The following is a 27,345-nucleotide window of genomic DNA, read 5'->3' as shown; positions in this document are numbered from 1 at the left end:
GAGACAGGAATAATACAAGGTGGTTGCAGAAAAATTTAATAATTCCAGGCAGCAGTTTCACGTAACTAACAAGGAAAAAATCTGTTAAAATAGCTACATAAGGTAGAAGCTGATAAGATTCTAAAAACCGGGGTGTGGGCCAAACTCGCTAAGGCTGACAGGACACAACATGGCGCTGGATTTGACCTAGGTTTCACCTAGGACCTAATTATATGCTTATTAACGTACTAAATCACACACCCACCAGTGCCATGACAGTCCCATATTTGGTTAAAAAATGGATGGCACCACATTTCTGAGAAATCTCCACCTTTTTCCAGGATTCTTCATGAATATTCCATTCCTTGGTTAAAGAAATCCGTAAAGATAAAAACCTCAAATCGGGCTGTGTCACTCTCGAGTATGTTCACACTCCCCTTTCTTGAATATGTAATTTTCTCTTTGCAATAAACCTCCATACTTTTATAACCGCCCAATGGGTTCACCTTGCCCGCTGCCTAGACAGAGCCAATCTATCAAGATGGGAATTGCCATAGAGAGAGAGTAATTCACACAGAGCCGGCTGTGTGGGAGACCAGAGTTTTATTACTGCTCAAATCAGTCTCCCTAAGCATTCAGGGATCAGAGTTTTTAAGAACAAATTGGCTGGGCGCAGTGGCCCATGCCTGTAATCCCAGCACTTTGGGAGGCCGAGGCGGGTGGGTCACGAGGTCAGAAGTTTGAGACCAGCCTGACCAACATGGTGAAACCCTGTCTCTACTAAAAATGCAAAAGTTAGCCGGGCATGGAGTCGCACACCTGTAATCCCAGCTACTCGGGAGGCTGGGGCAGGAGAATTGCTTGAACCTAGGAGGCGGAGGTTGCTGTGAGCAGAGATCACGCCACTGCACTCCAGCCTGGGCGACAGGTGAGACTTGGTCTCAAAAAAAAAAAGAACAAATTGGTGGGTTGGAGGAAGCCAGTGAGCCGAGAGTGCTGATTGGTCAGAGATGAAATCATAGGGAGTTGAAGCTGTCTTCTTACACTGAGTCACTTCCTGGATGGGGGCCACAAGATCAGATGAGCCAGTTTATCCATCTGGGTGGTGCCAGCTGATCCATCGAGGACAGGGTCTACAAAATATCCCAAGCACTGGTCTTAGGTTTTATAATAGTGATTTCTTTCTTTTCTTTCTTTCTTTCTTTTTTTTTTTTTTTTTTGAGACAGACTTTCGCTCTTGTTGCCCAGGCTGGAGTGCAGTGGTGCCATCTCGGCTCACCACAACCTCAGCTTCCTGGGTTCAAGTGATTCTCCTGCCTCAGCCTCTCAAGTAGCTGGGGTTACAGGCATGTGCCACCACACTTGGCTAATTTTGTATTTTTAGTAGAGACAGGGTTTCTCCATGTTGGTCAGGCTGGTCTCAAACTCCCAACCTCAGGTGATTTGCCCACCTCGGCCTCCGAAAGTGCTGAGATTACAGGCATAAGCCATCACACCAGCCTATAATAGTGATTTTTATCCCCAGGAGCGATTTAGGGAGTGTCAGAATCTTGTAGCCTCCAGCTGCATGACTCCTAAACCATAATTTATAATCTTTTGACTAATATGTTAGTCCTACAAAGGCAGTCTAGTCCCCAGGCAAGAAGGGGATTTGTTTTGGGAAAAGGCTGTTATCATCTGTGCCTCAAACTATAAACTATAAACTAAGTTCTTCCTAAAGCTAGTTTGTCCCATGCCCAGGAATGAACTAGGACAGCTTGATGGTCAGAGGCAAGATGGAGTTGGTCAGGTTAGATCTCTTTCTCTGTCTCAGTTATAATCTTGCACTGACGGTTTCACTTTCATTATCTTCCAACTAATCCTTGAATTGCTTCTTGGGAAGGTGTCAAGAGCCTGGACACTGGTTGGGGTTGAGGCCCCACCAGCATTTGGGGACCTCCCTAACCCACTGGTATCAATAAGACCTAACAATCCTATTCCTAGGTATTTGCCCAAGAGAGATGAAAAGATATGTTTACACAAAAACCTGTATGCAAATGTTTATAGTGACATTACTCATACAAAAAATGGGAAACAATCCAAATGTTCTTCAACTGGTCAGTAGATAAATACACTCTGGCATATCCATACAATGGAATATTACTGGGGAGAAAAAAAGAAGGAGGTGGGGATGCGGGACAATGATATCAATGAATCTCAATGCATTATGCTGACTGAAAGAAGACACACTCAAAAGCTACATTTTGTATGATTCCATTTACATGATATTTTGGAAAAAGCAAAGCTATAGGGAGAGAAAATAGATCGGTGGTTACCAGAGGTTGGGGAATGGGTGGAGAGGTTGACTTCAGATGGGCACAAGGGTATGTACTTTTTGGAGTTGACGGACCTATTCCATATCTTGATTGTGGTGGTGGTTCTATAACTATCTATTTGTTAAAACTCATAGAACCGGGTGATGGGTACGCCAAAATCTCAGAAATTATCACTAAACATCTTATTCATGTAACCAAACACCACTCATTCCCCCAAAAACCTATAAAAAAATATATATTTTTTGAGACTGAGTCCTGCTCTGTAGCCCAGGCTGTGAGTGTAGTGGTGCGATCTTGGCTCACTATAACCTCCATCTCCCGGGTTCAAGCAATCCTCCCGCCTAAGCCTCTCAAGTAGCTGGGATTACAGGTGTGCGCCACCATGCTTGGCTAATGTTTATATTTTTAGTAGAGATGGGGTTTCATCATGTTGGCCAGGCTGGTCTAGAACTCCTGATCTCAAGTGATCTACACGCCTCGGCCTCCCAAAGTGCTGGGATTACAGGCGTGAACCACCGTGCCTAGCCTAAACCTATGGAAATTAAAAAAACAAAACAAAACACCCAAAAACCTCATAGGGCCGGGCATGGTCGCTCACGTCTGTAATCCCAGCACTTTGGGGGCCAAGGCAGGCAGATCACTTGAGGTCAGGAGTTCAAGACTAGCCTGGCCAACATGGCGAAACCCCATATCCACTAAAAATACAAAAATTAGCCAGGTGTGGTGTCATGCACCTGTAGTCTCAGCTACTCAGAAGATTGGGGCAGGAGACTCGCTTGAACCTGGGAGACAGAAGTTGCAGTGAGCCAAGATTGCATCACTGTACTCCAGCCTGGGCAACACAGCGAGACTCTGTCTCAAAAGAAAACAAAAGGCCAGGTGCCGTGGGTCACACCTGTAATGCCAGCACTTTGGGAGGCCAAGGTGGGTGGATCACCTGAGGTCAGGAGTTCAAGACCAGTCTGGCTAACATGGTGAAATCCAGTCTCTACCAAAAATACAAAATTTGTCAGATGTGGTGGCAGGCGCCTGTAATCCCAGCTACTCAAGAGGCTGAGGCAGGAGAATTGCCTGAACCCAGGAGGTGAAGATTGCAGTGAGCCAAGATCACGCCACTGTACTCCAACCTGGGTGACAGAGCAAGACTCTGTCTCAAAAACAAAACAAAACAAAAAACACACAAAAAACAAACTCATAGAACTGTACACTAAAAAGGGCCAATTTTACTGGATATAAATTATACCTCAATAAACCTGATTCCCACCTCAAAAATAAACAATTTTAAAATTCTCAGGAATATATAGAAGATACAGTTCAGATCTCAGTGAAATGACTGGAAAACCAGAGAAGAAATCTACAATCAGACATAGGTATATGAAGGGTCCACTAGATGGTGGTATTAATTTTTGTAACAGAGCCTAGAAAAACGAAGCAAAGACATCACAGGCGTGGCAGTGGAGTAGTTTTTTGAAAAATGTTCTTGAAGATTATTGCTGTAATTCCTAATATATTGTCACCTTGATTTTTGTGTTTTTGCTAAGCCAGGTGTCCTGGCCTTCCACTGATTCTGGGAGGCCATCAATATCCTTCCAGTAAAATTCTCTCTTTCAGTTTTGTTTTGTTTCTGAAACAGACTGAATAGCAGCATTAATAGCGGTGGTTAACCAATTTGTTTGTTTGTTTTTTGAGATGGAATATTGCTCTTGTTGCCCAGGCTGGAGTGCAACGGCGTGATCTCGGCTCACTGCAACCTCCGTCTCCTGAGTTCAATAATTCTCCTGCCGGCCGGACATGGTGGCTCATGCCTGTAATCTCAGCACTTTGGGAGGCCAAGGTGGGTGGATCACCTGAGGTCAGGAGTTCGAGACCAGCCTGGCCAACATGATAAAACCTCATCTCTACTACAAATGCAAATATTAGCCGGGTGTGGTGGCACGCACCTGTAATCCCAGCTACTCAGGAGGCTGAGGCAGGAGAATCGCTTGAACCCAGAAGGTGGAGGAGGTGCAGTGAGCCAAGATCACGCCACTGTACTCCAGCCTGGGTGACAGAGCAAGACCCCATCTCAAAAAAATAAAAATAAAAATAATTCTCCTGCCTCAGCCTCCTAAGTATCTGAGTTTACAGGCATGCGCCACCATGCCCAGCTAATTTTGTATTTTTAGTAGAGATGGGGTTTCACCATGTTAGCCAGGCTGGTCTCAAACTCCTGACCTCAGGTGATCCACCCACCTCACCCTCCCAAAATGCTGGAATTACGGGCGTGAGCCACCATGCCCGGCCTGTTTTGAGGTTTTTGTTGTTGTTTTTGTTCTCATTTTCCTTTATGGAGAATTTTAAATATGTACAAAATAAACAGAATGGTCTCATATGAACCCTTAGTGTACCTATCACCAAGCTTCAATAGTCTTTGATAATCTGCCATTTTAAATTCAAGCCTCCATGACCACCAATCCCCATGCAAATAGTTTGTTTGTTTGTTTGTTTGAGACGGAGTCTCGCTCTGTCGCCCAGGCTGGAGTGCAGTGGCGGGATCTCAGCTCACTGCAAGCTCCGCCTCCCGGGTTCACGCCATTCTCCTGCCTCAGCCTCCCAAGTAGCTGGGACTACAGGCGCCCGCCACTACGCCCGGCTAATTTTTTGTATTTTTAGTAGAGACGGGGTTTCACCGTTTTAGCCGGGATGGTCTCGATCTCCTGACCTCGTGATCCGCCCGCCTCGGCCTCCCAAAGTGCTGGGATTACAGGCGTGAGCCACCGCCCGGCCATAGTTTTTTTATAGTTGTTTGTTTGTTTTTTGAGATAAAACTCTTATGTATTTTGAAATGCAGAAATTTTAACTGTGCAATTTCAATTTGTTTTTGAAGGACCTAGTTTGGAAGTTTCTAAGAACATAGAGTAAAAAGAAAAAGGAAAGTTATGAGAAAAAGCTTAAGGGGTAATTCCAGTAAACAAAATATAAGTTTACTAGGACTTTTAGGGGGAATTAATGAAGAGGAAAAAATGAAAAAGCAAAGATATTATTAAGGAAAATTTCTCTAAAATCAAGAAAGATTTGAAACTTTGTTAAAAAAGACCTAATAAATGTTGAACAAGATTAATAGAAAAACATATATGTATTATACAATACATACCTTCATACATCCTGGTGAAAATTCTGAACTTCAAGGATAAAGCGAATTTTCACAAGCTTTCAACTGGAAAACACAGGATACCTATAAAGGGACAAGGAAAAAAAAAAAAAGCAAGAAAGGATCATGGCGACCACCAGAAGGGTTTTATATTTGGCAGTTTCACCAGCTTCCCCAAAACACATCAATCAGGGAACACCAGTATTCCAAAAGAAAGGGGAAATGATATTAACTGAAGTGAGTTAGGGGAGTTGAAAATGCAAAAAAAACAAAAACAAAAAACAAAAACAGCTATTCATGACAGTATGGGCTGAAGGTCCCATGCGGTATCAGTTTTGTTTTCATAGTGATAGTGACATTTGTTCCACATTTGCTGAGGGACACTGAGGGCCTGGTGGGGGTGGTGTTCCCAGGTTTGTAGAGAAATGTCTTAGTTTGTGTTGGAAAGATACTACCACTAAGTCTTCTAAGAAGACAACAGCAATTTGGGCATGGCTTAGCAACGAATACTTGTCTCTACTCTTTATTTAGCATTAGCAGGGGTGGCTCACCTTGGGGCTGGAGGATTCTCTTCTCACTGTGTTGCCCAGACTGGAGTGCAGTGGCACAGTCTTGGCTCACTGCAACCACCACCTCCCAGGTTCAAGCGATTCTCCTACCTCAGCCTCCCAAGTAGGTGGGATTACAGGCATTCACCACCACACCCAGATAATTTTTGTATTTTTAGTAGAGACAGGGTTTTACCATCTTGGCCACACTGGTCTTGAACTCCTGACCTCAAGTGATCCACCTGCCTTGGCCTCCCAAAGTGTTGAGATTACAGGCATAAGCCATTGCCCCTGGCCCACCTTATCACTTTAATAATGCATACACATTGAATTGGGGTAACATGAAAAACACTTTTCCTGATATTTGCCTCCAGTCATTTTTCCTATTGTTTGTAACTCTTGCCTGCATAGATCTAAAGATTTAACATTTGATAGGAAGATAATTGAACCACTAAAGGGGAATCATTCTTATATGTAGGGAGAAATCAATTATTTCCAAGAAGATTCCTTATTTAAAAACTGATGTGGCGGGACACGGTAGCACACACCTGTAGTCCCAGCTACTCAGGAGGCTGAGGCAGGAGAATCACTTGAACCCGGGAGGTGGAGGTTGCAGTGAGCCGAGATCACACTGTTGCACTCCAGCCTGGGCGACAGAGCGAAACTCCATCTCAAAAAAGAAAAAAAAAAAATGAAAAAAACTCAAAACTGATTTGGTATCTATACAATGGACTAATACTCTGTGATTTAAAAGAAAGACGGACATACATTGATACTGATATATTACCATCTTAAATGGATCTCAAGGACATTTTGGTGGATGAAAAAAAAAGTTGATCCCCAAAGTTGCATACTATATGATTCCACTTTTATAATATTCTTGAAAGGACGTAAGTATAGCCGTGGAGAACAAATTAGTGATTGCCAAAGAACAGGGAGGAGGACAGTGGACTGGTGCAACTATTAATATGTAGTACTATAAGGGATAGCACTATGAAAGGGTAACACAGGACACACACACACACACACAAGCTAGTGCATGTAAAAACTGGTGAAATTGGAATAAAGCCTGTGGTCTGGTTAACAATATTTTACAGATGTCAGTTTCCTGGTTTTAATATTGTACTATAATCACGTAAGAGGCAATGATCAGAGGAAGGTGGGTGAAGGGTATATGGGACTCTGCTATATTTGCAATTTCCTGTGAATCTATAATTATTTCAAATTAAAGAAGGGGAAAAAATCAAACACAAGACATACAAACTCATCAAGTATTTCCTTTTTTTTTGGAAAAAAAAAAAACACCTACTGATTGTGAATGGCTTTATTGGCTGCTTCCTTTAACTCCCACAACTCTCTGAAATAGATGTTATGAACTCTATTTTAATTTTCATCAAAATGGAGGCTTAGGTTAAGTAATCTGTCCAAGGCACAACTACTGTTAGAGCCAGGGTTTGAATCCAGCACAATATAAATCCCACTCATGGTTGTTTTGGTTTAATCTTGATTGGACTTAAATGACACCGTTCTTTTCTTTAACACCCAGACTGGAGTGCAATGGCATGATCTCGGCTCACTGCAACCTCCGCCTCCCGGGTTCAAACGATTCTCCAGCCCCAGCCTCCCGAGTATCTGGGACTACAGGCATGAGCCACCACACCCAGCTGATTTTTGTATTTTTAGTAGAGACAGGGTTTCACCATATTGGCCAGGCTTGTCTTGAACCCCTGACCTCAAGTGATCTGCCCGCCTCAGCCTCTCAAAGTGTTGGGATTACAGGTGTGAGCCACCGCGCCCGGCCAACACTGTTCTTTTCTGCAATCTATTCTTCTACTTAACAAAGATTAGAGGACTTTACAGTTGCCTTTTTTTTTTTTTTCCAGACGGAGTCTCACTCTGTCGCCAGGTTGGATTGCAGTGGCACGATCCCGGTTCACTGCAACCTCCGCCTCCCAGGTTCAAGCGAGTCTCCTGTCTCAGCCTCCCAAGTAGCTGGGGCTACAGGCGCGCGCCACCAGGCCGAGCTAATTTTTTGTATTTTTAGTAGAGACGGGGTTTCACCGTGTTGGCCAGGATGGTCTCAATCTCTTGACCTCGTGATCCACCCGCCTCGGCCTCCCAAAGTTCTGGGATTATAGGCGTGAGCCACTGTGCCTAGCCTGCCATTACGTTTGTAATCCCAGCACTTTGGGAGGCCGAGGCAGGCGGATCACGAGGTCAGGAGTTCGAGACCAGCCTGGCCAACATAGTGAAACCCCGTCTCTACTAAAAATACAAAAATTAGCCGGGCGTGGTGGCGCGTGCCTGTAGTCCCAGCTACTCGGGAGGCTGAGGCAGGAGAATCGCTTGAACCCGGGAGGTGGAGGCTGCAGCGAGCCGAGATGGCCCTACTGAACACCAGCCCAGGCGACAGTGTGAGATTCCTCTCAAAAGAAAAAAAAATAATAATCTTTCTGCCAGAGGTGAGAGAGCAGAAAAAAAATTAATCAGATTCTCAAATTCCTGTACGTCTCTTAGTAGAGACGGGTTTCTCCTTGTTGGTCAGGCTGATCTTGAACTCCCAATCTCAGGTGATCCGCCCGCCTCGGCCTTCCAAAGTGCTGGGATTACAGGCGTGAGCCACCGCGCCCGGCCACAAGACGTTTTATTGCAACATAAAAACAGGATGTAACGAGTCTTCCAATCACCAATGTAATTAGAGTTGGTTACCAAGTTTCCCCACGCGTCTTCCACCATGAGGGAGAAACGGACTGCAGACAAACCTAGCACCCCTTGAGCAGTTTAATTCGTACTATAAATATGTAGGCACCGTAAGGACGCGATTCTCCAGTTTGCCAGGCCTTTTTCTATCCTTTTGGGGGCACAAGGCGACCTTGCCTCCTGATTCAAAAACTTCGTAAACGTCAATCCTTCTACCCTTTTCTGGTCAGCCCACGAAAGCAGCAGCATGGCACAACTCCCAGCCTAGAGTTCGGGCACTGCCTGTCGTCAGCATAACGAAGAAACCTACACCCACGAAGACTTCAGACCCCACGTGATTACATCACTCAACCACCAGCGCTGGCCTGGAGGAACCCGCTGTCACGTGACCGCTCGTGCCCAATGACCGAGGCCCACGCTTTCCAGACCGCCACAGTCGCTGTCACAGGGCCTGAGTTTGGGCGGCGCCCCGCCCCGGCCGCACGGTGCGCCGGCGTTAATCCTCCCCGAAGGTTCCGGCAGCCAAGATTGCAGGTTCCCACCAAGCATTGTTTCCGAACTGGGCCACGAGAGCGTGTCCCTGATTGGCTTGCTCTGGAGGCTGGGAAGGGACCTGTTAGAGACTGGGACCACTTCCTGAAGCGCGAGGCAGGAAGTTATATGCTTTTTCTGGAGTCCTGTAGAGAAAGTGCTCTCTGCCGCATTGATAGCAGCGAGAGCTGGAGGTGTTGGGTCGGGAGACCAGCCGTTCGATCCCGCCGCAGGTAGGAGCTGGTTTCCATCCTGGCACCACGGCACACACCTCCAGCCTCGAGCCCGGCGCTGCTGCCCGGGGGTCTCCTTCAGGCTCTTTGACGCCGTTCCAGGGGGCACCTATCCAGGCATCCTCTGGGCCTCTAGCCAGAGGACTGGCTCCCGGCTTCAGCACTCCGGGCTGCAGTAAGAAGTGCCCTTATCGCTCTGAGCCCTGCCACCATCCCGTGAACCACCGAAACCCTGGTCCAGCGCGACAGCCTTGGACCTGGGACTGGACGGATCCAAAACGCTCAGCCTCGGCCCCCCACAGACGGGGCTCTGCATCGTCTCTGATATGTCACCCACCATCTCCCACAAGGACAGCAGCCGGCAACGGCGGCCAGGGAATTTCAGTCACTCTCTGGATATGAAGAGCGGTCCCCTGCCGCCAGGCGGTTGGGATGACAGTCATTTGGACTCAGCGGGCCGGGAAGGGGACAGAGAAGCTCTTCTGGGGGATACCGGCACTGGCGACTTCTTAAAAGCCCCACAGAGCTTCCGGGCCGAACTAAGCAGCATTTTGCTACTACTCTTTCTTTACGTGCTTCAGGGTATTCCCCTGGGCTTGGCGGGAAGCATCCCACTCATTTTGCAAAGCAAAAATGTTAGCTATACAGACCAAGCTTTCTTCAGTTTTGTCTTTTGGCCCTTCAGTCTCAAATTACTCTGGGCCCCGTTGGTTGATGCGGTCTACGTTAAGAACTTCGGTCGTCGCAAATCTTGGCTTGTCCCGACACAGTATATACTAGGACTCTTCATGATCTATTTATCCACTCAGGTGGACCGTTTGCTTGGGAATACCGATGACAGAACACCCGACGTGATTGCTCTCACTGTGGCGTTCTTTTTGTTTGAATTCTTGGCCGCCACTCAGGACATTGCCGTCGATGGTTGGGCGTTAACTATGTTATCCAGGGAAAATGTGGGTTATGCTTCTACTTGCAATTCGGTGGGCCAAACAGCGGGTTACTTTTTGGGCAATGTTTTGTTTTTGGCCCTTGAATCTGCCGACTTTTGTAACAAATATTTGCGGTTTCAGCCTCAACCCAGAGGAATCGTTACTCTTTCAGGTAGTGTATTTAAGCTATTATGGTGTTAGGTTTATTTATCCTTTTGAAAGAGTGTGTGACGTTGGAGGGAAGCTCATTAATTTACTGGAAATCATTGTATGGGAGATAACTCAAGGTAAGTTTTCTGTTTCGTCCAAATGAGCTTCTTTGAAATATTAAAGCCAAAATGAATGATATTAGAGCAATCAAATGATCACTATGCGGTTAACAGGGAGAGGCAACCCATCAAATAACACAACCGAGTCCAGGGATTCATGCCACTTGCTTAATACACAAATGCACACTTTTAAAAAGTGTGGCTCATATGGTTCACATTTTTCCTTTTGTCTTGTTGGTTTTAGGTTTCTAGCTCTATACTTTCTAATCCATTTCTACCCCTACCGTTGTACCCAGAATCCAGCCTTCTAGTGAATGGAACAGGGTTTATTCGTTCAAACATTATTGAACCAGCTAAGGGACGGGATTCTAAGGCCTCTAATGAATAAGGCAGAGTTCTGCACTCAAGAAATAAGGAAGATGAACATTTTAGGAGAGTTCAGAGTTGCCAGTTAGTAACTGCCTTTGGGAGTCAGGCTTCACATTGCAGATAACATTTGACTTTGTTCTTGAATAAGATTCCACGAGGCCAGGAAATGGCACACCAGAATGCACAACACAAAGTAAAAGTGCACTGAGGCAGGAAAGTACAAAAAAGTACAGGACATTGCCTAAATTGTGGAACTGGGTTTGGGAAATCGTGCTGAGAAAGGCTGTGACTAAATTAGTAAGATTTTCTTTAATTACTATGGGAAAAGAGTTTAAAGTTTGTCCTGTAAGTAATGGAGGGTAAGTTCTAAAAAATTTCCCTGTTTCTCTGCATGAGTAAAACACATGTAAGTTTTTCTCTTTTTTCTTTTTTCTTCTTTTTTTTAATTGAGATAGTTGGGGGTCGGGGGGGCTGTCTCACTATGTTGGCCAGGCTGGTCTTGAACTCCTGGCCTCAGGTGATTCTCCCCCTCCTTGGCCTCCCAAAGTACTGGGAATTATAAGTGTGAACCACCCCACCTGGCCTAAGCTTTTTTGTTTGTTTGTTTGTTTTTAACTTTTGTAACAACTAGAAAACAAGTAAAATGACCAATATCAGGAATAACAATGTCAGGAATATAGTGAAATTCTTCATTCTGTCAGTGATGATGAATTTAGGGGATTCTGTTTTGAAATTTAAGCAACTGAACTTCTCAGCTTCTGTGCTACCTTGGAAATTCACAGTAGAGTAAATGTCCAGGTATGTGGTGGTGGTAGGAGGTGTCACAACTACACTATTTTCCTGCAATCTTATTCTCACAGACATCTAACCTTATGTACACCTCCTCAAACTGCTAATGAGTGAGCCACTATTACTGGTGAAATGATGGTGATAGTACTTTTTCCTCAGTTGTTTGGTTGAGAGATAATTGCTTTGCACCCAGGTAGATTTGTCTCAGTGTTCTGGGGTTCCACTCCTGCTTTATGAATAATTCACTGCTGGCCGGGCACAGTGGCTCACACCTGTAATCCCAGCACTTTGGGAGGCTGAGGTGGGAGGATCACTTGAGGTCAGGAGTTTGAGACCAGCCTGGCCAGCATGGCGAAACCCCATTTTTGAGACTCTGTCTCAAAAATAAATAAATAAATAAAATAAAAAATAAGTCACGACTGGGCACAGTGGCTCACACCTGTTATCCCAGCACTTTGGGAGTCTGAGGTGGGAGGACTGCTTGAGCTGAGGAGGTAGAGCCAGCTTGGGCAATACAGCAAGACCTCATCTCTACTAAAAATTAAAAAAAAAAAAAAAATAGCTGGGTGTTTTGCGAAGGCCTGTAACCCTAGCTACTCAGGAGGCTGAGGCAGGAGGATTGCTTCAGCCCGGGAGATTGTGGCTTCAGTGAGCTATGATCCAATCATTGCACCCCAGCCTGGTCAACAGAGTGCAACCCTGTCTTAAAATTATATATATGTATTTTTTATATGGAGTCTCCCTCTGACACTAGACTGGAGTGCAGTGGCAGGACCTCAGCTCACTGCGATTTCCACTTCTCTAGTTCAAGCCATTCTCCTGCCTCAGCCTCCTGAGTAGTGGGATTACAGGCATGTGCCACCACACCCAGCTAATTTTTGTATTTTTAGTACAGACAAGGTTTCACTGTGTTGGCCAGGATGGTCTCGATCTCCTGATCTTGTGATCCGCCCACCTCGGCCTCCCAAAGTGTTGGGATTACAGGCGTAAGCCACTGCGCCCAGCCAAAATAAATTAATTAATTAAAAATAAAATTAAAATAAAGAAGTCAAGGCTGGTGCAGTGGCTCACGCCTGTAATCCCAGCACTTTGGGAGGCTGAGGTGGACAGATCACCTGAGATCAGGAGTTTGAGACCAACCTGGCCAACATGGCAAAACCCCTTCTCTATTAAAAATACAAAAATTAGGTGGAAGTGGTGGCATTCACTTGTAATCCCAGCTACTCAGGAGGCTGGGTGGGGAGAATCGCTTGAACCCAGGAAGCAGAGGTTGCAGTGAACCGAGATCGCACCATTGCATTCCAGTCTAGGCGGCAGAGCAAGGCTCCATCTCAAAAAAAAAAAAAGAATAAGTCAGTGTAAATTAAAATCCAGTGGCATAATTTTGATCCATTAGGGAACAGTTGTGGCTAAGGGAGTATAAATATAATAACTCTTGAACTCATAACATTATTCTCTGGAATGATGTTTTACCAATCACTCTTACATTAAGAGAAAGTTCCAATTTAGCTAATTAGCAATTTAGTTTCCATGGCCTCTTAAACCTTGATTTCACTGAGGCTTTCTCATCTTAAGTAACATCATCTCCTTAATCCTCTGTGGTGATATAAACAGCAGTCTCAGGACAAAATGAAAAGCAGACACATAAAAAGCAACAAACTGGCTGGGCGCGTTGGCTCACGCCTGTAATCCCAACACTTTGGGAGGCCAAGGCAGGAGGATCACAAGGTCAGGAGATCAAGACCATCCTGGCCAACATGGTGAAACCTTGTCTCTTCTAAAAATACAAAAATTAGCCCGGTGTGATGGCATGCACCTGTAGTCTCAGCTACTCAGGAGGCTGAGGCAGGGGAATCGCTTCAACCTGGGAGGCGGAGGTTGCAGTGAGCTGAGATCGCGCCACTGCACTCCAGCCTGGGCGACAGAGAAAGACTCCATCTCAAAAAAGAAAAAAGCAACAAACTGATAACAGACAGTATGCATTCACAGAGTATTTCTAGGCAGTGAATTGTTATTATTATTATTATTATTATTATTATTATTATTATTATTATTATTCTGAGATGGAGTCTCGCTCTGTCGCCCAGGGTAGAGTGCAGTGGTATGATCTCAGCTCACTGCAACTTCCCCCTCCAGGGCTCAAGCTATTCTGCTGCCTCAGCCTCCCTAGTAGCTGGGATTATAAGCGTGTGCCACCATGCCTGGCTAATTTTTGTATTTTTGGTAGAGATGGGGTTTCGCCATGTTGGCCAGGCTGGTCTTGAACTCCTGACCTCAAGTGATCTGCTCACCTCGGCTTCCCAAAGTGCTGGGATTACAAGTGTGAGCCACTGTGCCTGGCTGTCACTTGTTATTTTGAATTGCCCCTTTTTTTTTTTTTCCTGTGGAATTTGAACTTTGTTCTGCAGTAGATTCTATAACTAGCTTACTTTTTAATTCAACTGTTTATATCTGTAGTGGACTGCTGTTTCTGGTTCAAACATTTTAGTTGAAAGTTAGAATTCCTATAGTTTCATTCTCCTTTTTATGACTGAACATACCACATTTATAACATTGTTCTTTCTGGAACTTATTAATAGGATAAGAAAAACCAGTGGTTTTGAAAAAGTTATATAGCACAGGAAGAATTATATGATGGAAATATAATTGCTTAGGTGATTAAAGAGGAGCTAAACACTGAGGCAATGTTTAGAAAATCTGAGTATTAAAAGGAAGCGTAATTGTTTTCTTTTTTTAATTCTAAAATATGTTCTGGCCAGGTGCAGCGGCTCACACCTGTAATCCTAGCACTTTGGGAGGCTGAGGTGGGCAGATTGCTTGAGCTCAGAAGTTCAAGACCACTCTGGGCAACATGGTGAAACCCCAGCTCTACTAAAAATACAAAAAATTAGCCGGGTGTGGTGGCGCATACCTGTGATCCCAGCTACTCAGGGAGGCTAAGGCACTAGAATCACTTGAACTGGGGAGGTGGAGGCTGCAGTAAGCCGAGATCACACCACTGCACTCCAGCCTGGGTGACAGAGCAAGACTGCATCTCCAAAAATATAAATAAATAAAAAATAAATGAAATACTATCTGTAATTAACAGTTTTGATTGTTACAGATAAATGGAGATGGAATATATTGGGTAGATAGATAATGTAAATGAGTCATCTGAGTTGGAGGGGACAGAGATAATTTGAGAAATCCATGCCCCTCTAAAGGTGAGGAGCGTCAACTCTAGTAAGTTGTAGTTTTGTGACAATAGGATCCCAAGATTGCTAGATCTTCTTTTTTTGTTGTTGTTGAGACAGAGTCTCACTTTGTTGCCCAGGCTGGAATGCAGTGGTGCGATCTCTGCTCACTGCAAGCTCCACCTCCAGGGTTCACACCATTCTCCTGCCTCAGCCTCCCGAGTAGCTGGGACTACAGGCGCCCACCACCATGCCCTGCTAATTTTTTGTATTTTTAGTAGAGACAGGGTTGCACCATGTTAGCCAGGATGGTCTCAATCCCCTGACCTTGTGATCTGCCTGCCTCGGCCTCCCAAAGTGCTTGGATTACAGGTGGGAGCCACCATGCCCGGCAAGATTGCTAGATCTTAGGCATATTCAAGAGAAACTAGAAATTCCTTTTTTATTTCCTAATTTTACAAACACTTCTTAGGCTCATATAAAAACATGTCTTTAGCTGAGCACAGTGGCACGCATCTGTAGTTCCTGCCACTTGACAGGCTGAGATGGGAAGATCATTTGAGGCCAGGAGTTCGAGGCTGCAATGCGTTATAATAGTGTCTGTGAATAACCACTGCACTGCAGCCTGGGCAACATAGCAAGACCCATCTTTAAAAAAATCTGTCTCATCTATCATCTCTCTATCTGTCATCTATCTAATCTATGTCTTCAGGCCAGATCTAGCCTGTAAACTGGTAATTGAGGCCCTCTCCTCTAGCAGCAGTAGTAACAATTAGAAGTGATTGGAATAGGGAGCAGTGTATTTGGGTTTAGGAGCAGGGAGCAAGACGGTTTAATGACAGAGAAGGAAGCTAAAGATATTAGAGTTTATAAATCAGTTTGTTTATAAATAGGCACGCACATACAGGAATAAATGAGAGAAAGTGTTGCTTTGAAAAAGTTGATGCTATAAGTATGAATCTAACCAAACTAATGACAATAAAAACAGTATTTGTAAGACATTGATGCTTTATTTATTTATTTATTTATTTATTTATTTATTTTTTGAGACGGAGTTTTGCACTTGTCACCCAGGCTGGAGTGCAGTGGCGTGATCTCGGCTCACTGCAACTTCTGCCTCCCAGGTTCAAGCGATTCTCCTGCCTCAGCCTCCCAAGTAGCTGGGATTACAGGCACACGCCACAATGCCCACCTAATTTTTTTTGTATTTTTAGTAGAGATGGGGTTTCACCATGTTGGTCAGGCTGGTCTCGAACTCCTGACCTCAGGTGATCCGCCCACCTCAGCTTCCCAAAGTGCTGGGATTACAAGCATGAGCCACCGTGCCCAGCGACATTGATGCTTTAAATTAGAAAGCAGGACTATTAATTCCTACCTGATGACAAATTTCTTTGTCCTGCTTTCAGAACACATAATTTATATGACTCAAAATGCCTGTTAGAATTTGGAAAAGACTAATTGACCCATTTCTAGATAGACCAGGTATTCTTACATAGGCTATAATACATTCTTTAGCATTCATGTCTAGGCTTAAAATGTTACCCTACATTCTCAGAAAAACAAACTGTATTCCTTTTTTATTTTTTTGAGACAGCGTCTTGCCATGTCATCCAGGCTGGAGTGTAGTGGCACAATCTCGGCTCGCTGCAACCTCTGCCTCCTGGATTCAAGCGATTCTCATGCCTCAGATTCCCAAGTAGCTGGGATTACAGGCATGTGCCACCATGCCTGGTTACTTTTTGTATTTTTAGTAGAGACAGGGTTTCACCATGTTGGCAAGGCTGGTCTTGAACTCCTGACCTCAAGTGATCCACCTGCCTCTGACTTCCAAAGTGCTGGGATTACAGGCATGAGCCACCACGCCCAGCCTATTTATTCTCATTAAAGTAATCTCCCTATAATTTATTGAATAAAATGAATTCTTTAGGAAGACACACCAAGTTTGTTTATCCTGTGCATTTGAATTTCCTTTGGCATATCACCATATGGGGAGACAGAGGTGAGAAGGGGGAATACAAGTAGTCAGTTTAAAGAAGTGAGGGAGCCAGGCACGGTGGCTCATGCCTGTAATCCCAGCACTTTGGGAGGCCGAGGTGGGTGGATCACCTGAGGTCAGGAGTTCAAGACCAGCCTGACCAACATGGAGAAACCCCGTCTCTACTAAAAATACAAAAATTAGCTGGGGTAGTGGTGCATGCCTATAATCCCAGCTACTTGGGAGGCTGAGGCAGGAGAATCACTTGAACCTGGGAGGTGGAGGTTGCGGTGAGCTGAGATTGTGCCATTGCACTCCAGCCTGGGCAAAAAGAGCGAAACTCAGTCTCAAAAAAAAAAAAAAAAGGAAGTGTGGGAAAATATCTATGTTCCAGACCTCATGGTTGGAGCTAAAATATGAACCTTTTTTCTCAGTGGTGTCCAGTTGATAGAAAAGAGAGCTTACTTGCTGTGGGTGTATCTGAGTATCTGGATGACATAATGGAAAACATTTCTTGCTTTAGAACTAGACCGCAGTTTGAATGCCATTTCTGGCACTTTCTGGCTTGTGATTCTGTTTCCTTGTATATAAAGTAGGAGTAATAATGCCTATCTTGGAAAGTGATTTTGGGATTTAAATGAGATGTCCTCTGTTTTTTCCCAGATCTTATAATAGACACTCAGGTGCGAGCTATTGTACCTTTATTGGTTACTAATGAATTGTTACATGCTCTTAATTTCTGCATTCGTGAAAGCACTGGACAAGATCTTGCAGCCACTTCAGAATATTTAGTCTGTTTTTTAGGTCTTTACTCGGAAATCATGTTTATGAAACTTGAACATCAGCTTTGATATCTTGATCATACATTTATATACCATGTATGCTTAAGTTTATAAAATACACAAATCAAAATTAACCAAAATATTAATAATGAAATATTTCCATATTTTTGGTAATAATGATAAAATACATAAATCAAAATTAACCAAAATGTTAATAATGAAATATTTCCATGTTTTTGGTAGTAATGTTTCTTTATGGTTGTTGGCATAACAGGCTATGGATGTCTCTAGCATCAAAGCAATGTTAATAAGTCTAATAAGACTACTGGCTATCATCTATCAACATTGGTCTGATTTGTGATAATTGTGTTCATAAAACTTCTTAATATATTTCCTGGCCTCTCTGAACTATTGGCTTTTTCATTCTTCTGCATGTGCGAGAGATGGAAACCCTTTGAATTAGGGCTTTGTGACTGACCCATTGTCACTACTTCCTTCTTTTTATGTATTTTCTCCTCAAAGCACAAAGAAATTAGAAATATCCTTGTCTGGGTACCGTGGCTCACACCTGTAATCTCAACATTTTGGGAGGCTGAGGCAAAAGGATCACTTGAGCCTAGGAGGTCAAGGCTGCAGTGAGCCAAGTTTGCACCACTGCACTGCAGCTTGGGTGACAGAGTGAGACCCTGTCTCAAAAAAAGAAAAAAAGAAATAATCTTATCTGCAAACATTGCTGAAACCTGTGTAGTTTCTTCTTCTTTTTTCTCTTGGTATTGGTATCAAGGAATTTAAATTTTAGATGGACTGTGTTTATTAAAATTGGTAGACTATGCTAAACAAATTTACAATTCTTTTGCCTAGAAAAATGGAACTACTTAAGTCTTATATAACTGGAAAACTTTTACTTTTCGCTTAACATTAATTGGAATTTTGGTGACAGTGAAAATTATTTTTTTTTCAGGGCTTGTTAAACAACTGTTTTAAAACAGATGATGACCAAAACCCTGCTCAATGAGAATAGTATTGTACGTGAAACTCTAAAGAAGTCATTATTCATCTCATTTTGCAGATGGAATTAAGAATGCAAAAATAGTGGACATGCCAAGTGAATGCTGTTAATAATATGTAAAATTATTTGATTAAACATTTATTACTTAAAAAAAAGTGGACATTAGCCTCACTTATAAGGATAATGTTATTAATACATTATTGTTCATTCCTTTCGAACCAGATTCCAAAATGCTAGAAATTATGTTAAGATGTTATTTTATACTGGGCGTGGTGGCTCACACCCGTGATCCTGGCTCTTTGGGAGGCCAAGGCAGACAGATCATTTGAGGTCAGGAGTTCGAGACCAGCCTGGCTAACATGGTGAAACCCCGTCTCTACTGAAAATACAAAAATTAGCTGGGTAAAGTGGCACACATGCCTGTAATCTCAGCTACTACAGAGGCCGAGGCAGGAGAATCACTTGAACCCGAGAGGTGGAGGTTGCAGTAAGCTGAGATTGCACCACTGCACACCAGCCTGACAAGAGTGAGACTCCGTCTCAAAAAAAAAAAAAAAAAAAAAAAAAAAAATATATATATATATATATATATATATATATATACCTTTATGTAGGCAGTGTAAAATTATGAAAAGAATGTAAGACTCAACTTCAGGAGGTTGAGATTCAAGTTCTGCCTCTGCCTCTGCCTCTTAGTGATTTTTACCTTTGGTAAATATTTAAGTATTCTGAGTTTCTTTTCCTCGTCTGTATTTAATAATAACACATGCTTAGCCTATCCTGTTTGCTATGAGAATCAAATGAGATAACATATAAGAAAGGAATATTTAAATACCAAGGCGAAATTGATCTAAACAAATAATGCTGTCTTTCTGCCTCGTAAGTGAGGTTCAAACTGTAGTGATCACCTTCAGTGAGCACAGCAGCAAGAGCAAGATTCAATCTAAGGAAAAACCCTGACTGAAGAATATTCTAATTGTTTTTGAGAAGAGGTGACTTAGGGTCCTTGATCAGTTGTGCCACATACACCATAAAATAAAAAGTAAAAGCATCTAAAATGGAGCACAAGTCTAGAATGTTTGAGCTATAATGCAAGGATTTTCTAGCCAAATCTTCTTTTACAGATGAAGAAACTGAGACAGGGTTATCTAATAAGTTTTCTAGTGGCAAACTGAAATGCAATTCTCAGGGTGGTTAATGAGATACAAGTTTTGAAATTAGTTGTACTTATAAGGTGTGAAATCACAATTTTACCACTGACTTAGAATGTAACTTGGACAGCTTGACTTCCCTAAGCCTTAGTTTGTTCACCTGTAAATTTGGGCTGGTGAAGTAAAGGATCTATTGGGCTGTAGAAGTAAAGGAGTTGATACATGTAAAATGCTTAGCATATTTTTGTCACGTTGTATGCACTCAATAAATGATACCTCCATTATTACTATTATTTTTAGCTGTTTAGCAGAATCTTCCAGACCATTATTTACTCCCTCCACTAAATTTGTTCAAGGTGATAGCTAATGGCTCAACTATCTTTCACTGAAACAACCCAGACAGTACTCTTCATGGGTCCTCATTCTGCACCTACGAGTGTGAGCAAATGCCTTTTATATCATATTATTGAGATGAGAAGGTTATTCTTAAACAGATTGAAAGCATTAGAAAGTTTAAAAATATAAGGTAGAAAATCTGATGTAAATAATCACCTGTTGTCAAATTTAATAAAGAACTGAAAAGGCTTGGGTATATAAGAAATGTAACTGATGGATCTTAGGGGATATGAAAATCATTTCCCACCCCTAGCACTTTCCTTGAATAAAGTGACATGATAGGCTTTTGTTCATTCAACTCAGTTGTACACTAAATGTAATGTCTCACCACCCCCTGCCTTTTTGGTTGTTGTTGTCACCTATTTTGGGTCTCTACGTTTAAGAGTCAGGACTGTTTTGTTCATTTGCTGTGCCTGGTACAATGCCTTGAATATAATAAAGAGGTACCTAAATGTTGACTTTTTTTTTTTTTTTTTTTTTTTAGACAAGGTCTCACTCTATTGGCCATGCCAGAGTGCAGTGGTACAATCACAGCTCACTGCAGCCTCCACTTCCTGGGCTCAGGTAGTCCTCAGCCTCCCAGGTGGCTGGGACTACAGATGTGCACCACCAAGCCTGGCTAATTTCTTATTTTTTGTAGGGATAGGGTCCCACTATGTTGCCCAGGCTGGTCTTGAATTTCTGAGTTCAAGTAATCCTCCCACCTTGGCCTCCCAAAGTGCTAGGATTACAGGCATGAGCACCTGTACTTGGCTAATTTTTTAAATAACATTTTAATTGAAAGTTATTGTATATAGAATTATTTAGTATCAATGAAATTATGTAATTTTAAAAATTAATTATAGATTTAAAACATTTTCAGATTTCCTTTTTTTCTGGGGAACTGTATTTTTAATAACAACAACATTGGTTGCCCTTCTGAAAAAAGAAAACGAAGTATCAGTAGTAAAAGAAGAAACACAAGGGATCACAGATACTTACAAGCTGCTTTTTGCAATTATAAAAATGCCAGCAGTTCTGACATTTTGCCTTCTGATTCTAACTGCAAAGGTAAGAGATTTATAAATCAAATTTATCATTTTCTTATAAGTATCAATATCATGGAATACTTACAATGCCTTTTTCATATCACAGGTCCCTTTCCACTACCATTAGAATTTAACAATGAAAAACAATATTTTCTGTTTATTAAATGTATTTGAAAAGATGTAATGATATCAACTTTAATTTTAAAGTAAGCTAAATGTCTTGGAGTATTGTAAAGAATTATGTCCATTGGAGAACTGTTAGTAAATGTGAACCTTAATGATATTAATGCTTGGAATGGAGATTAATATCTTTAAAAATCAATAGCTCTGTCTTCTTATAATGAGTATACATTTAATGTTGTAGTAATACAATTATTTACTAAGAGTGTGACGTAAAAAGATATAGGGCCAGGTGTGGTGGCTCAAGCCTGTAATCTCAGCACTTTGGGAGGCCGAGGCAGGTGGATTACCGGAGGTCAGGAGTTCAAGACCAGCCTGGCTAACATGGTGAAACCTTGTCTCTACTAAAAATACAAGAATCAGCCGGTCATGGTGGCACGTGCCTTTAGTCCCAGCTACTTGGGAGACTGAGGCAGGAGAATCACTTGAACCCAGGACGTAGAGGTTGCAGTGAGCCGAGATAGCACCACGGCACTCTAGCTGGAGCGACAGAGCGAGACTCTGTCTCAAAATAATAAATAAATAAATAAATAAATAAAAAGATATAGAAGTATATGAGTATTAGAAGTCAATTTTTTAAAAATCCATTGAATTATTTAAGTACTGAAAGGAAAATTATACGAGAAACGGGGATTACTGGTGACTTTTATTCTATATTAAGGTGTCTCAATTTTATAGTTCTAAAAATATTTTTAACATGTTAGGCTAGAATAAGGTAAGTATATTTTGTTACAGTGAACTATTGCTAGTGTTGGAGTTAATATTTCTGAAATCTGCAATCTTATAGGATTTTCATTTTATATACTTAAATCTATGTATATAAACACTTTGCACCTATCTTTTGACAGTTTTGAAGGAACCATTAGCCTCATTGTTTTCATTTTAAATAGTGAGTGTTTTTTCCTCTTAATGATAGAAAGAAGGCCAGATGTGCTGGCTCATGCCTGTGATCCCAGCACTTTGGGAAGCCAAGGTAGGAGGATCTCTTGAGCTCAGGAGTTCAAGACCAGCCTGAATATGGCAAAACAAAAAATAAAAAAACTATCTGGGTATGGTGGCATGTGCCTGGAGTGCTAGCTGCTTGGGAAGCTGAAGTAGGAAGACAGCTTGAGCCTGGGAGGTGGAGTTTGCAGTGAGCCATGGCTATGCCTCTGCACTCCAGCCTGGGCAACAGAGCCAGGGGTCTGTCTTTCTCTTGAGACAGGGGTCTCAAGAAAAAAAAAAAGAATGGAAAGTTCAGAAAATATGAAAAGTTCAAGGAGCATAACAATATATATATATATTTTTTTTGAGACAAAGTCTCGCTCTGTCACCCAGGCTGGGAGCAGTGGCACAATCTCAGCTCACTGCAACCTCTGCCTCCTGGGTTCAAGCGATTCTCCTGCCTCAGTCTCCCGGGCAGCTGGGACCACAGTGTGCACCACCATGCCCAGCTAATTTTTTTGTATTTGTTTATTTTGAGATGGAGTTTCACTCTTATTGCCCAGGCTGGAGTGCAATGGCCCTATCTCGGCTTACTGCAACCTCCACCTCCCGGGTTCAAGCGGTTCTCCTGCCTCAGCCTCCCAAGTAGCTGGGATTACAGGCACATGCCACCAGGCCCAGCTAATTTTGTATTTTTAGTAGAGATGGGGTTTCTCCATGTAGGTCAGGCTGGTCTTGAACTCCTGACCTCAGGTGATCTATCCTTGGCCTCCCAAAGTGCTGGGATTACAGGCATGAGCCACCGCGCCTGGCAATTTTTTTGTACTTTTAATGAAGAGAGGGTTTCACCCTGTTGACCAGGCCGTTCTTGAACTACTGACCTCAGGTGATCCACCCACCTGGCCAAACAATATTATCTAATTATATGATTTAATAATTTTTCATTTAAGATAAACAGTATTTGCTGGAGGTGGTGGCTCACGCCTTTAATCCCAGCACTTTGGGAGGCCAAGGTGGGCTGATCACTTGAGGCCAGGAGTTCGAGACCAGCCTGGCCAACATGGTGAAACCCCGTCTTTACTAAAAATACAAAAATTAGCTGGGTGTGGTGCCAGGCGCCTGTAAGCCCAGCTACTCGGGAGGATGAGGCAGGAGAATCGCTGGAACCCGGGAGGCGGAGGTTGCAGTGAGCCGAGATCACGCACTGCACTCCAGCCTGGGTGACAGAGTGAGACTCCATCCCCAAAATAAATAAATAAATTAATTAAAAAAAAACAGTATTGACCTTCTTGGTATATTTCCTTTGAAACTCCCTTTTTTCCCTATATATGTGTGTGTGCATGTATGTGTGTATACGTATACTTCATATATTTATTTACTCATATACTTTATTTTATTTTATTTTGAGACTGAGTCTCACTCTGTTGCCTAGGCTGGAGTACAGTGGCGCGATCTCTGCTCACTGCAACCTCTGCCTCCCTTGTTCAAACAATTCTGCCTCAGCCTCCCGAGTAGCTGGGATTACAGGCACACACCATCATACCCAGCTAAGTTTTGTATTCTTAGAAGAGACGGGGTTTCACTATGTCGGCCAGGCTGGTCTCAAACTCCTGACCTCAAGTGATCCACCTGCCTAGACTCCCGAAGTCCTGGGATTACATGTGTGAGCCACCATGCCCGGCCTACTTATTTATTTACTTTAAAAGTGAAATTGAATCATATATAATTTTTTATCTTCTCTTTGTCTTATACCAAACATTTCTATAGCATTACATATTTGAAAACATACTTGTTAGTAGCTACATGATATAGTTAGTGTGTTAAATTTAAATTTTCCGTAATCTCATTTTTCTGTTGTCTATTTTGCTTATGTTTTTAAATTATAAAAATGCACTAGCAAATATTTTTGTGCATAAGTCTGTGATTTTCTGGATATTTCCTTCCAGTAGACTTTTTTTTTTTTTTTTTTTTTTTTTGAGACAGAGTCTCGCTTTGTTGCCCAGGCTGGAGTGAAATGGTTAATTTTTTTTTTTTTTTTTTTTTTTTTTTGAGGCGGAGTTTCACTTGTTTCCCAGGCTGGAGTGCAATGGCATGATCTTGGCTCACTGCATCCTCTGCCTCCTGGATTCAAGCGATTTTCCTGCCTCAGCCTCCTGAGTAGCTGGGACTACAGGCATGCACCACCATGCCTGGCTAATTATTTTTATTTTCATTTTTATTTTTAGTAGAGATGGGGTTTCTCCATGTTGATCAGGCTGGTGTCAAACTCCCGACTTCAGGTGATCTGCCCGTCTCGGCCTCCCAAAGTGCTGGGATTACAGGTGTGAGCCACTGCACCTGGCCTAATTTTTGTATTTTTAGTAGAGACAGAGTTTCACCATGTTGGCCAGGCTGGTCTTGAACTACTGACCTCAGGTGGGTGATCTGTTCACCTCAGCCTCCCAAAGTGCTAGTATTACAGGCGTGAGCCACCGCACCCGGCCTATTTTTTATTTTTTTTAAGATGAGGTCTTGCTCTGTCGTCTAGACTGGAGTGCTGTGGCATGGTCATAACTCAGTGTAATCTCAAACTCCTGTGCTTAAGCCAGACTCCCACCTCAGCCTCTCAAGTAGTTAGAACTATAGCTGCTTGCCACCTCACCCAGCTAATTTTTTTTTTTTTTTTTTTTGAGACAGAGTCTCTCTCTGTTGCCCAAGCTGGAGTGCAGTGGTGGGATCTCTGCTCACTGCAACCTCCTCCTCCCGGGTTCAAGCAATTCTCCTGCCTCAGCCTCCGGAGTAGCTGGGATTACAGGTGTGCACCACCACACCCGGCTAATTTTTGTATTTTTGGTAGAGACAGGGTTTTACCATTTTGGTCAGGCTGGTCTCGAACTCCTGAGCTCAGGCAATCTGCCCGCCTTTGCCTCCCAAAGTGCTGGGATTATAGGCGTGAGCCACCACGCCTGACCCACCCAGCTAATTTTTACATTTTCTGTAGAGATGGGGGTCTCATTTTGCTATACAGGCTGGCCAATAGATTTTTTTTTTTTAAGTTTTTTTTTTTGAGATGGATTTTTGCTCTTGTTGCCCAGGCTGGAGTGCAATGGCATGATCTCAGCTCACCACAACCCCTGCCTCCGGGGTTCAAGAGATTCTCCTGCCTCAGCCTCCCAAGTAGCTGGGATTACAGGCGTGCACCACCATGCCCGGCTAATTTTGTATTTTTAGTAGGGACAGGGTTTCTCCATGTTTGTCAGGCTAGTCTCGAACTCCCGACCTCAGGTGATCTGCCCACCTCGGCCTTCCCAAAGTGCTGGGATTACAGGTGTGAGCCACTGCACCTGGCCAGCCAATAGATTATTAAGCAGGCAATTAGTGGGTCAATGAATGTAATATGATTGCTGAATTGCTTTTCAAAAGGTTATACTAATTTATACTGTCTCCAGCAATATATAAGGAGGTACTTCAATTACAAAGTCTATAATACTGTTTTCTTCTTTTAAACTTCCCCCCTAATAACATATCTCCTAACTTTTAATACTACAGATTAATTTTCTTTCCTTTTGAATTATATATTAATGGACTATACAATATATATTTTTATGTTTGATGCATATGTTCTTTTGCTTAATATTATATTTGTGGAATTTATCCATATTTTTATTTATAGCAATAGTTTGTTTATCTCATTACTGTATAGTATTCCGTTGTATGGATATGCCACAATTTATCCATTCTATCAACAGATTTTTAGAGCTATTATGTGTAGTGTTTCTACAAACATTCACATACGTGACTTTTGGTGAAGATAGGTGCACATTTCTCATTGGTAAATATATAGGAATAGAATTGCTGGTTCATAGAAGATGCATAGTATTTTGTACTGCCAAATAGTTTTCCAAAGTGGTTGTTCCAATTTTCCCTACCACCAGCAGTGTAAGAGAGTTCTGATTTTAAGGAGTTTCACATCCTTGAAAACACATATATTATCTTTTTTTTTTTTTTTTTTTTTGAGACGGAGTCTCGCTCTGTCCCCCAGGCTGGAGTGCAGTGGCGCGATCTCGGCTCACTGCAAGCTCTGCCTCCTGGGTTCACACCATTCTCCTGCCTCAGCCTCCCAAGTAGCTGGGACTACAGGCACCCACCACCACGCCCAGCTAATTTTGTGTATTTTTAGTAGAGACGGGGTTTCACCTAGCCAGGATGGTCTCGATCTCCTGACCTTGTGATCCACCCACCTTGGCCTCCCAAAGTGCTAGGATTACAGGCGTGAGCCACTGCACCTGGTGTATATCATCTTTTTAATTTTAGCCTTTCTGGTGGTTGTGTAATGGCATCTTGTTATTGCCATAATTTGAATTTCCCTAATGACAAAAGAAATTGAGCATCTTTTCATGTGATTATTGACCATTTGAATATCCAAAGTTGCCCTTTTCTTTAAATTTGTAAAGTTGTTGTTTCTGTTTAGATTTCGTTGTTTGAGATGAGGTCTCTGTCACCTAGGCTGGAGTGCAGTGGCACCATCACAGCTCATTGCAGCCCTGACCTCCTGGGCTCAAGTGATCCTCCAACCTCAGTCACCCAAGTACAGGCATGTGCCACCACCACGCCCAGTAAATTAAAAAAAATATTTTGTAGAAAAGAGTTCTTACTATGATGTCCAGACTGGTCTTGAGCTTCTGGGCTGAAGCAATCCTCCCGCCTCATCCTCCCAAAGTGCTGTGCTTACAGGCATGAGCCACTGTGCCAGACCAAACTTTTTAAAATATATTTTGAATTTGAGTCTTTTATTAGATATGTGTATTACAAATATCTCCTACTATATAACTTTTAAGACTTTTTTAACATTTTAAGATTAAACATTAAAGTCAGTTTGTATGTCTTATTTTTACAAAGGGAATGAGTAAAATGTAAGTGAAATTATTTTCTGGACTTAAGTGAAATATATGTTAC

The 27,345-nt window shown here is 42.6% G+C and overlaps 1 protein-coding gene and 1 long non-coding RNA gene across 15 annotated transcripts in view, besides 4 other annotated features; one reads left to right on the top strand and one right to left on the bottom strand.

The window, feature by feature from the left end:
- Positions 1-20: 20 nt before the first annotated feature.
- Positions 21-9,007, bottom strand: LOC105374174 (uncharacterized). Of its 2 annotated transcripts, none has more exons than XR_924607.4 (3): positions 8,682-9,007; positions 5,428-5,508; positions 21-1,112 (listed from the first exon to the last, which is right to left on the bottom strand). It is a non-coding gene; the product is annotated as an uncharacterized LOC105374174 (long non-coding RNA). The 2 variants fall into 2 exon arrangements; XR_924608.4 differs by lacking the exon at positions 21-1,112 and adding an exon at positions 1,444-2,121.
- Positions 1,029-1,088: an enhancer, noted in NCBI's record as "active region_20724". NCBI's record gives its function as "activates an Ori minimal core promoter by ATAC-STARR-seq in GM12878 lymphoblastoid cells {active_cell/tissue: GM12878}" and the evidence as "EXISTENCE:reporter gene assay evidence [ECO:0000049][PMID:35858748]".
- Positions 5,683-5,782: an enhancer, noted in NCBI's record as "active region_20723". NCBI's record gives its function as "activates an Ori minimal core promoter by ATAC-STARR-seq in GM12878 lymphoblastoid cells {active_cell/tissue: GM12878}" and the evidence as "EXISTENCE:reporter gene assay evidence [ECO:0000049][PMID:35858748]".
- Positions 8,746-9,305: an enhancer, noted in NCBI's record as "active region_20722". NCBI's record gives its function as "activates an Ori minimal core promoter by ATAC-STARR-seq in GM12878 lymphoblastoid cells {active_cell/tissue: GM12878}" and the evidence as "EXISTENCE:reporter gene assay evidence [ECO:0000049][PMID:35858748]".
- SLC33A1 (solute carrier family 33 member 1) overlaps positions 9,333-27,345 on the top strand; it is a 33,404-nt gene continuing 15,391 nt past the window's right edge. For 6 of the 13 annotated variants that reach the window (XM_011513311.4, NM_004733.4, XM_047449194.1 and 3 more), the window contains exons 1-2: positions 9,333-10,537; positions 21,141-21,328. In XM_011513311.4, the coding sequence (XP_011511613.1) occupies positions 9,763-10,537; positions 21,141-21,328 (963 nt within the window). In that variant the 5' untranslated portion in view covers positions 9,333-9,762. Of the gene's footprint in view, positions 10,653-21,140; positions 21,329-27,345 lie in introns of all 13 variants that reach the window. The other 7 variants (XM_017007464.2, XM_047449195.1, XM_047449200.1 and 4 more) reach the window with 3 other exon arrangements.
- Positions 9,676-9,745: an enhancer, noted in NCBI's record as "active region_20721". NCBI's record gives its function as "activates an Ori minimal core promoter by ATAC-STARR-seq in GM12878 lymphoblastoid cells {active_cell/tissue: GM12878}" and the evidence as "EXISTENCE:reporter gene assay evidence [ECO:0000049][PMID:35858748]".

The sequence above is a fragment of the Homo sapiens genome, chromosome 3 (assembly GCF_000001405.40).
Source record: "Homo sapiens chromosome 3, GRCh38.p14 Primary Assembly".
NCBI lineage: Eukaryota > Metazoa > Chordata > Mammalia > Primates > Hominidae > Homo > Homo sapiens.
This window is presented reverse-complemented; position numbering and strand designations above follow the sequence as displayed.